We start from the raw sequence: 12,061 nt of genomic DNA on the forward strand, positions 1-12,061 counted from the left end.
TTCTATCTATTTTTCTATTATATCTACTTTTCTAAAAAGCATGTTTTGGATGATAACTTTTATGATCATCCTTCCTCATCTATAGACAGTGTTTCTAGTAATTACCAAATTATCTTCAGTTCAATGTCGCCTGGAAAGTTGTGTTTTAAAATTACAAATTTACAGATGCTCCCCAGTCCTCCCAAATGAACTGCAGCATGAGGCTACCTCACAGTATTTGTAATAGGCTCTCCAGTAACTGCTGTAAAGGTTTCATGAGAGTTCATACGTTAGAGGATTAAACTGCCTTGAAGTCTGACAGCCTGGCTTGCCACTGATCTGTGGGAACTTAGGCATGAAAATTAACCTCTCTGAGCTTCAATTATTATTGTTAGTCAGTATTCTAAAAGGAGAATTAATAATAATGCTTACCTCATAGTTTCAAGAGAATTAAAGAAAACAAAACAACCAAAATAAGTAAGGTGCTCGCAAAGTGCTTTTTACATAATACGTAATAAGATGAATAATTAATATTGAGAACTTGTGTGCTTTGTACTGTCCTAAGCACTTTGCATATACAATATTAATATTTAATCTTCACGAAATTCCTATGAAGTTGAGGAAAGAAAGATCTCTGGTCTCCAGTGACTGTGGGGCTGCCCTTCTCATGTTCTTCCAGTGGCTTGGCAGGGAGTTGGATTAGTTGGGCTGAACTACTTTACAGAAGTCGAATAAGGTCTCAGACTGATGCAGTAACATTAGTGTTCCAAACCTCTAGCTGAGTTCGGAGGCTTCTCAAGGGCCTTAGGCCAGAAAGTCCCTTTGTACATAAAACGTTAGGTGTGCTTTACCATCTTTCAGTCCAACCTGTAATTATGTAACTAGTGCAGGGGTAGGATTCCCTCCACTAGAGGGCTCTTCCACAGCTCTGTGGTCCCGGTTGACCTCCAAGGAGCAACAGCAGGGGTTAGAGGGATTCTTGAGCGCCATCCTACACCTCTGTTGGAAAGTGCTTTCACTAAATCTCATCAAAATTTTGCCATGCACCGACAGTGGGATGACCCACGGGGCACCTGCACAATAGAAGCAGGGGAGAAATTGAGGCACGGAGAAGAGAAACTCCCCCACATGATACAGCAAGTAAATGACGCAGCGTGCAGATTAATCTCGACGGTATAGCTCCTCTTAACACTGTTAATGATGACACTTATTGGCATTATTCAGGTAAAATGGGAGGCTTCAGATAAACGTTTTTGGACTGATAGGGCCTTAGAGCTCTCTTCAAGTCATGCTACAATATTCACTCACACACGCACAAAAAACAACAAAAAATGCACTTTCATTAGAATTTTTACATAAACTAGTACAAATTTGGGGTGTGCTAATTTTGTAAATCTAATACTAATTATTCTACATTTTAACATTTAAAGATCATACATTTGTCTTTTTTTAAGATTGGTTGCTTCAATGAGAGTAAAAATACTTTCCCCATCTATAAAATTTCGAGGTTAATTTAAACTAGTGTTTTCCAAAGAACTGAAGAATGTCTCTTAATTGACAGAGTGGAGGCAGGGATGGAAGGAGAAGAAAGTGAGGGAGGGCAAAGTGATTGGCATTATTTACATTCCTAGGTCTGACACTGACAGATTAGTCCACTAATGCAGGCCAGTGGACTATCTTCACCTCTCTCCAGATCAGCAGGTGTAGGGATTTCAGAAAATGGGCCTTTTAGGCTGTATCTGAAGAAAGCATGGCCAGGACAGGGTGGAGACAGCAGAACATCCATGGGAAAGCAGAATCCTACCTTTAGCCTCCATTTCTGATTCAATCACCCAAGACAGCAGACTCAGAGTTGAAAGAATATTCTAGTGTGGATGAGAGTCTTGGCTCAGTCATTGTTAGCTAGTTTTACTTTGGCAAATCACTTCAACCTCTCTGCATTTCCAACCCTCTTTTGCCCCTATGGAAATGGGAATAATAATGCAAGCCTCAGGAAGTTAGTAAGATTTAATTTTTTTTTTTTTTTTTTTTTTTTTTTTTTTGGAGACAGAGTCTCACTCCATCACCCAGGCTGGAATGCAATGGTGCGATCTTGGCTCCTTGCAACCTCTGCCTCCCGGGTTCAAGTGATTTTCCTGCCTCAGCCTCCCAAGTAGCTGGGATTACAGGCACCCGCCACCACGCCCAGCTAATTTTTTTTTTTTTTTTTTTTTGTATTTTCAGTAGAGACAGGATTTCACCATTTTGCCATGTTGGCCAGCCTGGTCTCAAACTCCTGACCTCAGGTGATCCACCTGCCTCGGCCTCCCAAAGTGCTGGGATTACAAGCGTGAGTCACTGCGCCTGGCCAAAAGATGTTTTTCATATATACCACTCATTGCATGGTACTGTTTTACTGTGATAGACATGGTGCATAGAGAGACTGGAGAGAGGGTCTGCAAACTTCATTCATTCATTAAATTAAACTAAAAAATATTCTTCTCAGAAGAACCTACCTATATTTACCAGCTAAGTCAATGAAGGCATTTGTAAGCATTATGAAAATACAATGTGAATAATGTTGCTTCCATAAATTTTTCTATAAAGTGTATGGTAGTGTGGGAGAGAACAAATTTTGTTTTGCCTTCACATTGCACATTAGCAAATCCAGTAGAAAAACAATTCTGAAGATGACTTCGGAAGTCTTCTCGAAACTCTGTTGGTTAAACAAAATAACTTGCATTACAGCACTAGGAATAAATATTAATATCCAACTTTTTCAAGAAAACTTCTGAGATCTCTTTGGCCTTTTCTGACTGCACACACAGATGCATTAGGATTCTCAGTGGAAGCATATAACACAACTAAAAAATGGAATTAACTTAATGATATTGAATCTCTTTTCTATCTTAAGCAAAGTGACATTGAGATGATTATCCCTTTATTAAGAATGAATTATAAGCATTTTTTATTCTCACTGAATAATTTATTTTTGCACATGTATTTTTGAAACTATTTGATTTGGTATCACTTATACTCATTACTTTTAAAAATAAAGTAACATTTTAAATTTATTTTTATAGCTACCTTCAACTAAAGCAAAAAAATATTTCCTTTCCATCTTAGAGAGTGATATAATTTTTCCCTTGTAAGTAAGATAAAGACATTAGGAACATAAGAGTGGAGATGGTACATGGAAGTGGAAAAGCACATTAACATATTTTGAGCATGTTTAGGAAAGGCAGGACTTCACAATCTTAAAGGTCCTTCCTTCCCATTTTAAGAGACTGTGGATTTTAGAACTTGGACATAGTGTGTAGGCTGGGGAACAAGAGAATATATTCCTCACACCTGGACCCCTGAAGATAAAACATAAGATCTTTTCCCAGCTATTTTCCCTTGCAATGAGAATAAAGATGAATTAGGATAGAGGTTCTCAAAGTGTGATTTTATCTATTTATTTTTATTTCTTTTTTTTTTTTTAGACATAGGGTCTTGCTGTGTTGCCCAGGCTGGAGTTCAGTAGCTTGATCATGGCTCACTGCAACTTTGAAATCCTGGGCTCAAGCAATCCTCCTGCCTCAGCCTCCTGAGTAGCTAGGACTACAGGCATGTGCCACCACATCCAGTTCATTAAAAACAAACAAACAAACAAAACAAAACAAAACCCACAATATTTTGTAGAGATGGGGCTCACTATGTTGCCCAGGCTGATCTTGAAATCCTGGCCTCAAGCCAGGATTCTCTCATCTCAACCTCAAAAAATGTTGAGATTATAGGCATGCGCCATTGCATCTGGCCAAAGTGTCATTTTAGAACCAAAAACATCAGTACCATCTGGGAACTTACTAGAAATACAACTTATCAGGCCCTGCCTGTACCTGCTAAATTAGAAACTCTAACAGTGGAGCCCCAAAATCTGTGCTCTTATAAGTCCTCCAGGTGATTCTCATGCCTGCTGAGGCTTGATAACTACTGAATTAGGGAAGCATGTATGTAACATCACTGACCATGTATGCAACTAGAAAAGTAGTCTTATAGTGTTAAGTCTAGTGAAAGCCATCTTGAAAATGATCTTAGCCTAATGAATGTCAGTAAATGTTTTGAGAAAGGGAAAGAGAAATTTTTGCTTAGAAATGAGTTCCTGTAACAGGAGAAGAAATCTCATCAGGAAAGACTTAAACGTACCAATCACATTCAAATACTCTAATATCATTTTTGTTGGAGGGAGACAGTGGCATGCGAAACCAACATAAGGACATGTAAATTTACACCTTTCGGTGCAATGAAAAGCTGGAGTCTCTAAATGTCATAAATCAATCAGTTATACCTGTAGTTGTTAGCTGGGCATTTGGTCCTCTTCTCTTGAAGTCTCCTTACATACCCTTTCTGATGAGGAAGGTGCCTGGCTCATAGCCACTGCTAATGGGACCAAGGATGAACACCTAAGCCAATTAGAGTCTTTCAGCAGAGAGTTTGGAATTGGCGCTCTGGCACTCAGGGTGTATTTGAGAGGAATTAAGAGGCCATGGAAGTTGAGGCTGAGGTGGCTATGTGTACTCCAAAGCAGAAAATGAAAGGCTTTTAGAGGAAGAGAAGCATACCTGAAGTAAATACACAGAGTATCTGACTGTGGAGTGGCATGGGATATGCAGGAGGGATAGGAAGAGGGAATGAATGACAGAGATTGCCAAGCCCCTAATTGTTTCTAATTCCAGCTGCATTTTCTCTTCTTAGGTTTCCTGTGATAACTCAACATCCATCCAACAAATTGCCATAGTTTTTTTTTTTTATTATTGTTTGGATAGGTAAGTCTAAAGAAGTTTTCTATGAAGTTTGATAAGTTTACTACTTATCAATGAATATCAATATTAATTTAAAATATGAATATAATTTTGATCAGCTATTGACTGAGAACAATGGCGAGGATTTGGTGTTGAATACCAAATTTCCTCTCTAACAGAAAAGAAATCTTACAGCATGAAGAATAGGAAATGTTGTGCTATGTGGCAGTTAAATTGATTCCCCTTTATTAACTGAAGGGAAAGGAACAGAAGAATTTAAATTTATAGACCAACCAACAAGAATTGCGATGCAGATTAATCAAAGTCAAAAAGCCAAGGCAGTCTTTCAAAGGATGAATGCAGTACTCCAAGGCTAAGAAAAGCCTGATAGGCAGGCACTAGGGTAAGCACCAATGAAACATAGGACTGGAGTGCTGCTGAGTCCTCCCAAGCACAAGTGCCAAAAGAAATATTAAGGATGATTGCAGCTGAGTACAAAACAGGCACTGGGCCAAACACTGCTAAAACGCAAAACATGTTGGACAAGCCTGACCCTAATAAAAAGGTAGGCAGAACGTGACATAGGGCTCCAGCACAGGCCTCTTTTACCTTAAGTAAGCAATTATGCATCTGGCTCTGAAGTTGCCCATGATAATTATAGAAGCAGAAACTTGATAAAGGCATTTGGGAATAGGAATAAGAAACTGAATTTTTAAGCTCCCAAGAGGTGATTATAAACATATCTCCTTGTCATGTACTTTAGCAGAAGATAAAGTAATAATAGCTTGAAAAATGAAGGCTGATTGTGAAGCTAGGATCCATCCACTCAGTAGATGTATTCTTCCCAATGAAGTGTAATAGTTCCAATAAATTCATTTGGGTTGACTTGGGGAATTTTTAAAAAATCACTTAAAATATGTGGTTACCTCTATAGAGTTTATTTACCTTCTATTTCCTTTCCCTTTATTATATACACCCAGGGGAATGAATAAGATTAACATTCTCATGTTTAGATGAGAATACTGATTAACTGGCTTAACGTATTCATTAAGTATCTCATTCATCATTGTATCTCACTATACAATCCTTAGGATTACCATTATAAATCAGCAAAATTACAAGTAATTAATATCTTGGATTTCAGGTGACTCTAGAAAAAAGGAAACCCTCTGTTTAAGACTGAAAGGTCCACAGTTACATCACTTACTACTATAAAACTAAAAGATGATTTGTATCAAGAAGAGAGAAAGAAGATGGAAAGTCTTCAATTATTTTTAAGTCAAACGATGTACACTCCAGGATGAGAGTTCCTGGAAGGCTGAGAGTAAAATGAGCTAATGTTGCAGCTTTAGAGAAAGCCCAGGTATACCCGAAAAGCTCCTTTTGTACTCAGACGTTCCACCCTTTAACCAATATCTAAAACTTCCCCCAGGACTATTCCTAGGGTATCATGACTCAGGGATTATCCTGAGATTTAGTTGAATTCTTCTTTCTAGATCTGTCAGTGATTCATAGAGGCAGTTAGCAGGAACTGAAGATACCAGGCATAATTTGGATATTTGTTCCCTCCAAATCTCATGTTGAAACTTGATCCCTAATGTTGAAGGTGGGGCCTAGTGGGAGGTGCTTTGGTCATGGAGGCAGATCCCTCATGAATGACTTGCTGCCCCCTTGTCCCCATCCCACAGTAATGAGTGAGTACTCCCTCCATTAGATCACCTGATAGCTGGCTGTTTAAAAGAGCATGGCACCCCTCCCCCCTCTCTCTCTTTTTCCTTCTCCCTGGCCACCTGATGTTTGCCCCCCTTTCCCTTCTGCCATGCGTGGAAGCTTCCTGAAGCCCTCAGCAGAAGCAGATGCTGGTGCCATGTTTCTTGTACATCCTGCAGAACTATGAGCCAAATAAACCTCCTTTCTTTATAAATTACCCTGCCCCAGGTATTCTTTTATAGCGATGCAATACACTAAGACAATACCCAAGATTCAAATGCATGCACGCAATATGTCGTTAAGCTTCCTTCTAAGAGCCATATGAGATAGGATCATTTACTTAGCAGGGCTCATTCTCCATCAGTTCTTACACAGACTTGTCAGTGATTCTCATGTCTTCTCTTTTCCCTCACCACTCTTGTTGGTCATTTTATTTTTTTTTTTTTAATTTTTATTTTTTGAGACAGAGTCTCACTGTGTCACCCAGGCTGGAGTGCAGTGGTGTGATCTCTGCTCACTGCAGCCTCTGTTTCCTGGGATCAAGTGATTCTCCTGTCTCAGGCCCCTGAATAACTGAGACTACAGGCAAGCACCACCATGTCAGCTAATTTTGGTTTTTTTTTTTTTTTTTTTTTTTTAGTAGAGTCATGGTTTCACCTCATTGGCCAGGCTGGTCTTGCACTCCTGACCTCAGGTGATCCACTTGCCTCAGCCTCCCAAAGTGCTGAGATTACAGGCGTGAACCACTGCACCCGACCTTGCTGATCATTTTAAACTCAGTTCACCAGAACAAAATGTGGACATGAGCATTAGACTAGCTAGCCAGCCATTGAATCCTCCTAGAGAAAGTCAGCTTCCTGCATTGGTAGAAGACATGAAATTTATTCAGAAGACAGTAGAAAGTACAGTGGAGCCCAAAGGAAATTACAATGTTATTGATAAGCCAACTGGAAATTTTGGCTTTGCTGACATATCAATTTCCATTCAGAGATTTTAACATCTTAACAATTATCACTTAACTATTTCTCTTTCTAAATAGGCAATTTCACGCATAGTATGGTAACATGTACTCAGATATCTTCAATTTTCTTATAGTTTTTGCTTGAACCAAAAAGCTATAACATTTTATTATGTTGATATATTAATTCTTAACTTGGCAAATTACAACCAAGAGGAATCATACATAATATCCTATGGATTTTTCATTCTCTTCTCGTTGGATTCGGGAGCTTAGGAAGATCTACTTAACAAACAATTGCTGTGAGGTGAACAATGCATTTTGAATGTCAAAGAAAAAGAAGTCAGAATTGAAAAAGGCAAAGAAAATATTTTTATTAGTCTGAAGCAAAGTAAAACTCTCCCCATTATGTATTTACAATAGCAGTATTTAATACAGGTAACAGATTGAGCTTTAGGAGTGATCATGCTAGAATCTAGCTGTTGTTAGCCATGTCTAAATACTGTCATATCAAAGTCTTTACTTAGTTAATTATTTATTATACTTTCAGATTTTTATTGTAAAAACGTATTATTATATTTTGCATCAATTTTTGAAAAAAATTGTAGACTTACAGGGGAGTTGCAAAAATAGTGCAAAGAGAATTTTCCTGAACCCATATCCCATCTTTCCCTGTTTGTTAACATCTTTAAAAACCATAGGACATATGTTGAAATTTAAAAATTAATCTTGTTACAGTATTGTAAAATAAAGTCCAGAACTTATTCAGATTTCACTGGTTTTTCAAATAATGTCTTTTTTTTCTGATCAAAGATTTAATTCAGAATCCCATATTCCATTTAATTCTTTGTCTCCTTGATCTCCCTCATTCTGTAACAAATATTAGTTTCTTCTCATATTTTGTGATCTTGATACTTTTGAAGAGTACTGGTTAATTTGTTTTTTTGTAGAATTCGCCTCAGTTTGGGTTTTACTGATGTTTTCTTGCTCTTAAATGTAGGTTATGGATTACTGGAAAGTATACCACAGAGATGATGTGCTGTTTTTTCCAAAAGCATTGTATTAAGTGGTACATAATGTTCATATGCGTTAATGGTGATGTTAATCTCAATCATTTGCCTGAAGCAGTGTCTTTTAGAATCCTCTGCTGTAGTCACTGTTTTTCTGTTTGTAATTACTAAAAGCTTTGGGAGAGATATTTTGAGACAATACAAATATCTTGTTTATGCTTAAACTTTCACCCACTCATTTTATTATCTAATGAATGACCTCATTTGTTGTAAATATTACTATGAGGTTTAATGGTGATTTTATATTTCTCTCATTTCTTTTATATGTGTTAACTGGAATTCTTCAATAAAGAAGAGCTGTTGCTCTTTCTTTGTTCATTTATTTTATTAACTTATAAATATTATTTTATTTTTTGGAATGTAATCAATGCCATCATTATTTATTTTATTTTCAGTTGTTTCAACTTTGACCATTGGGGACTCTTTCAGGCTGACTTCTGTGCCCTTTTGATATGTTTCTCGTCATTTTGTTTATTTACTTTGATTTTCCATATCCTTTCTGGCACTGCAAGATACTGTAGGCTTTTCTTGTATTTTTCCTGCCACAGACCTGGAATCAATCAGTTCTCCAAGGAGCCCTGGTTCCTTTTATTGGAAAGTGGTATTTAGAAATCAATATCTGGGTGTTTAGTGTGTTCATTGCTACTGGGCCAAAGGTTTTCATTATTGAGTTTTGATGAAAATGATGTTGCTCAAAAATCATTCCTAAAATATCTCAACTCTCAACAGAAATTATGGAATATGATGAGATTTTAACGTAACACTTTCTAATGAGAGTTAATAGATGCTGTGCTTTGGTGGGTTTCCATTGTCTAATAATCACAGCACATTAACAACACATCCCCTCTCTCAGAGATTCACTATGCTAAATAAACTTGTTTTCCTTTGTTAATCCAATTACATCTAAAGTTATTTAACTTTAATTTTTTTTTTCACAATACTACTACAACCATCAAGCAGAAGAGTCAGGGTCAGTTGAATACCAGATTAGGAAACATAATTTTAAATAAAGATTTCCTCTTTTAAATGTTTTCACTAGTTAACGAGTTACAGGATATAAATTACCTTGCTTTTGGCTCTTCATGTGACTAATCGAGCACAATCATCAAGAATAGCTTCACTGAAGCCATTGAAAACTAACGTTGGAATAAGGAGCCTTTGCATTGTCTTCTGGTTTTCTCATGCATTCCTTTGCCCCCAGACATCATGCATGTGTGCGTGTACACACAGACACACACGCCCCTACATACTTTTCTTTCTCCTTCTCCCTTTCTTTCTCCTTTTCTTCCTCCCTTCCACCCTTCCTGCCTGCCTGCCTTCCTTCCTTCTTTCCTTCCTTCCTTCTTTCCTTTCTCTCTCTCTTCTTTCTTTCTTTTCTCTCTTTCTTTCTCTCTCTTTCTTTCTTTTCTCTCTCTCCCTCCCTCTCTCTCTCTTTTTCTTTCTATGAGATATATTGACAGCGTTTCTGATCCTCATAATATAATCCTGGCTTGAAAACTGCAATTTTCCAGTATGAGGAATAACACTATTTCTAAAGCCAACCTATTTTTTAAAAGTGAGAACTCATCTTTTTTATATTCTAATGTGTCCTTTTGTTGGTTGTTGTATTCATGCAGCATTACTTTCTTATTTTTCTCATGTCTCTCTTGTGTATACAATAGTTTTCCAGGATTCTCCTGCTTTGTGATTTATCCATGAATGTCCAAGCACTGTCTCTTTATCTTCTCCTCTTCATGTCAAATTAGACTCTTGACTTTGTATTTAAGATGGTGTAGTTACCTATTTGGAAATCAGTGCTTTTCATATTACCTGGTTTATTTATTAGAAAAGAGAAATCTATTGAAGAAAAATGATTTAGGATATAAGGATATATTTTATAGCAACAAACTCAACTCACCATGAAGTGTGGATTATTTCAAATCATTATCAACAAAACTATATAATTAAACGAGCAAATCAGCAGCACCACCAACAAAACAACTAACTCTTAGAGTTGATCAGAGTTATCAAAATCGTAAACACACATACACACTCTTTCATGATAGAAGACCTAGAGTTCTTATGCAACATTTACTTGTGCAACCAATATTTACTGAGCACCTAGTATGCCAAACAATATACTTACTAATGGACATTCAAACTTAAATATGATATAGCTCTAGCCCTCAAAGATTACAGTCAAGTGGTGGGAAATGAAATGTAAGTCTAATTTTGATCTGGTGTAAATATAATAATGTTACACGAAATTAGGGGAGTACAGAGAACAATCATCTAATACAAAATTATTCAGTATATTAGTCAGCTCTGGCTGCCATACCAAAAGATGACAGGCTAGGTGGCTTAAACAACAGCAAGTTATTTCTCACAGTTTGGGAGGCTGGAAGTCTCAGATCAAGGTCCAGTTGAGTTTTGCTTTTAGTGAGGACTCTCCTTCTGACTTGCAGACAGCCACCTTCTTGCTGTGTGCTACCATGACACACAGGGAAAGAGAAAGAATGCTCTCTTATATTTCTTCTTGCAAGGATACTAATGCTATCAGATCAGGGCCCCATATTTTATGACTTCATTTATCCTTCATTACTTCCTTATAAGGCCTTATCTCCAAATACAGTCACAGTGGGGATTAGGGCTTCGACATATGAATTTTGGTAGAAACAGAAAAATTCACTCTATAACACTCAAACTTCTTGAAAATGTTAATTCTTTTTTAAAATAAATGGTAATTATGTATTTTATTAAGTTTAGGAGACATGAATAGGGAAGAAAAATTGAGTATTTTGTTCATGTAAATATATCCATTAATTACTCATGTCAATAAAACATTTAATTCATTTAATAATTTTAATTTGTAAGGCACATTCACTTTTTTGTGGTTGTTGTTCTACCAACAAGATTGAGGCAGCTGGGCCAATATTATTGCACTTAATTTTCAGATAAAAGGCACAGGGATATACTGCAATTTGTACAAAATTGCGCCATGCATTCACAGTGAAACTTAGATAAATTACTGGTCCCATCCTATGATATTTCTTAATAACCAATAAAGCTTAAGTATAGGAAATATTTAAAATAAAAGATAAAACAAAAGGCATCATATATTCCTTGGTGGTTCAATGTCTTCTCTAAGAAAATAATTATTCACTTCTGGCTTCTAATATGGCATGTGAAGAGCTTAGAAATCGTTACTTCATCCTATCAACAAGTAAAAGGCTCAAAAGACAGAAAAATCAACAATCCTTCTTAGATCTATCAGAGAAAGTCTTCAGAGAAGTAAAATGATGTAAGTTAGAAATTTGGAAGGAATACTATGTATTTGATTCCCATAAATGTGATAATCTAGAAGAAATGGACCAATATCTTGAAAATCACAATCTGTCAAAACTCACACAAGAAGAAATAGACAATCTGAATAGGCTTATTTCTACTAAATAAACTAAACTGATAATTAATAACTTCCTAAAACAGAAAGCACCACAACCAGATGGGTTTGTTGGTAAATTGCACTGAACATTTAAAGAAGAAACAATTGTCCACAATTTCTTCCAGAAGATGATAGAAGCAGAGAGAATACTTCCTAACTC

This window comes from Homo sapiens, chromosome 2 (genome assembly GCF_000001405.40).
Source record: "Homo sapiens chromosome 2, GRCh38.p14 Primary Assembly".
Classification (NCBI taxonomy): Eukaryota; Metazoa; Chordata; class Mammalia; order Primates; family Hominidae; genus Homo; species Homo sapiens.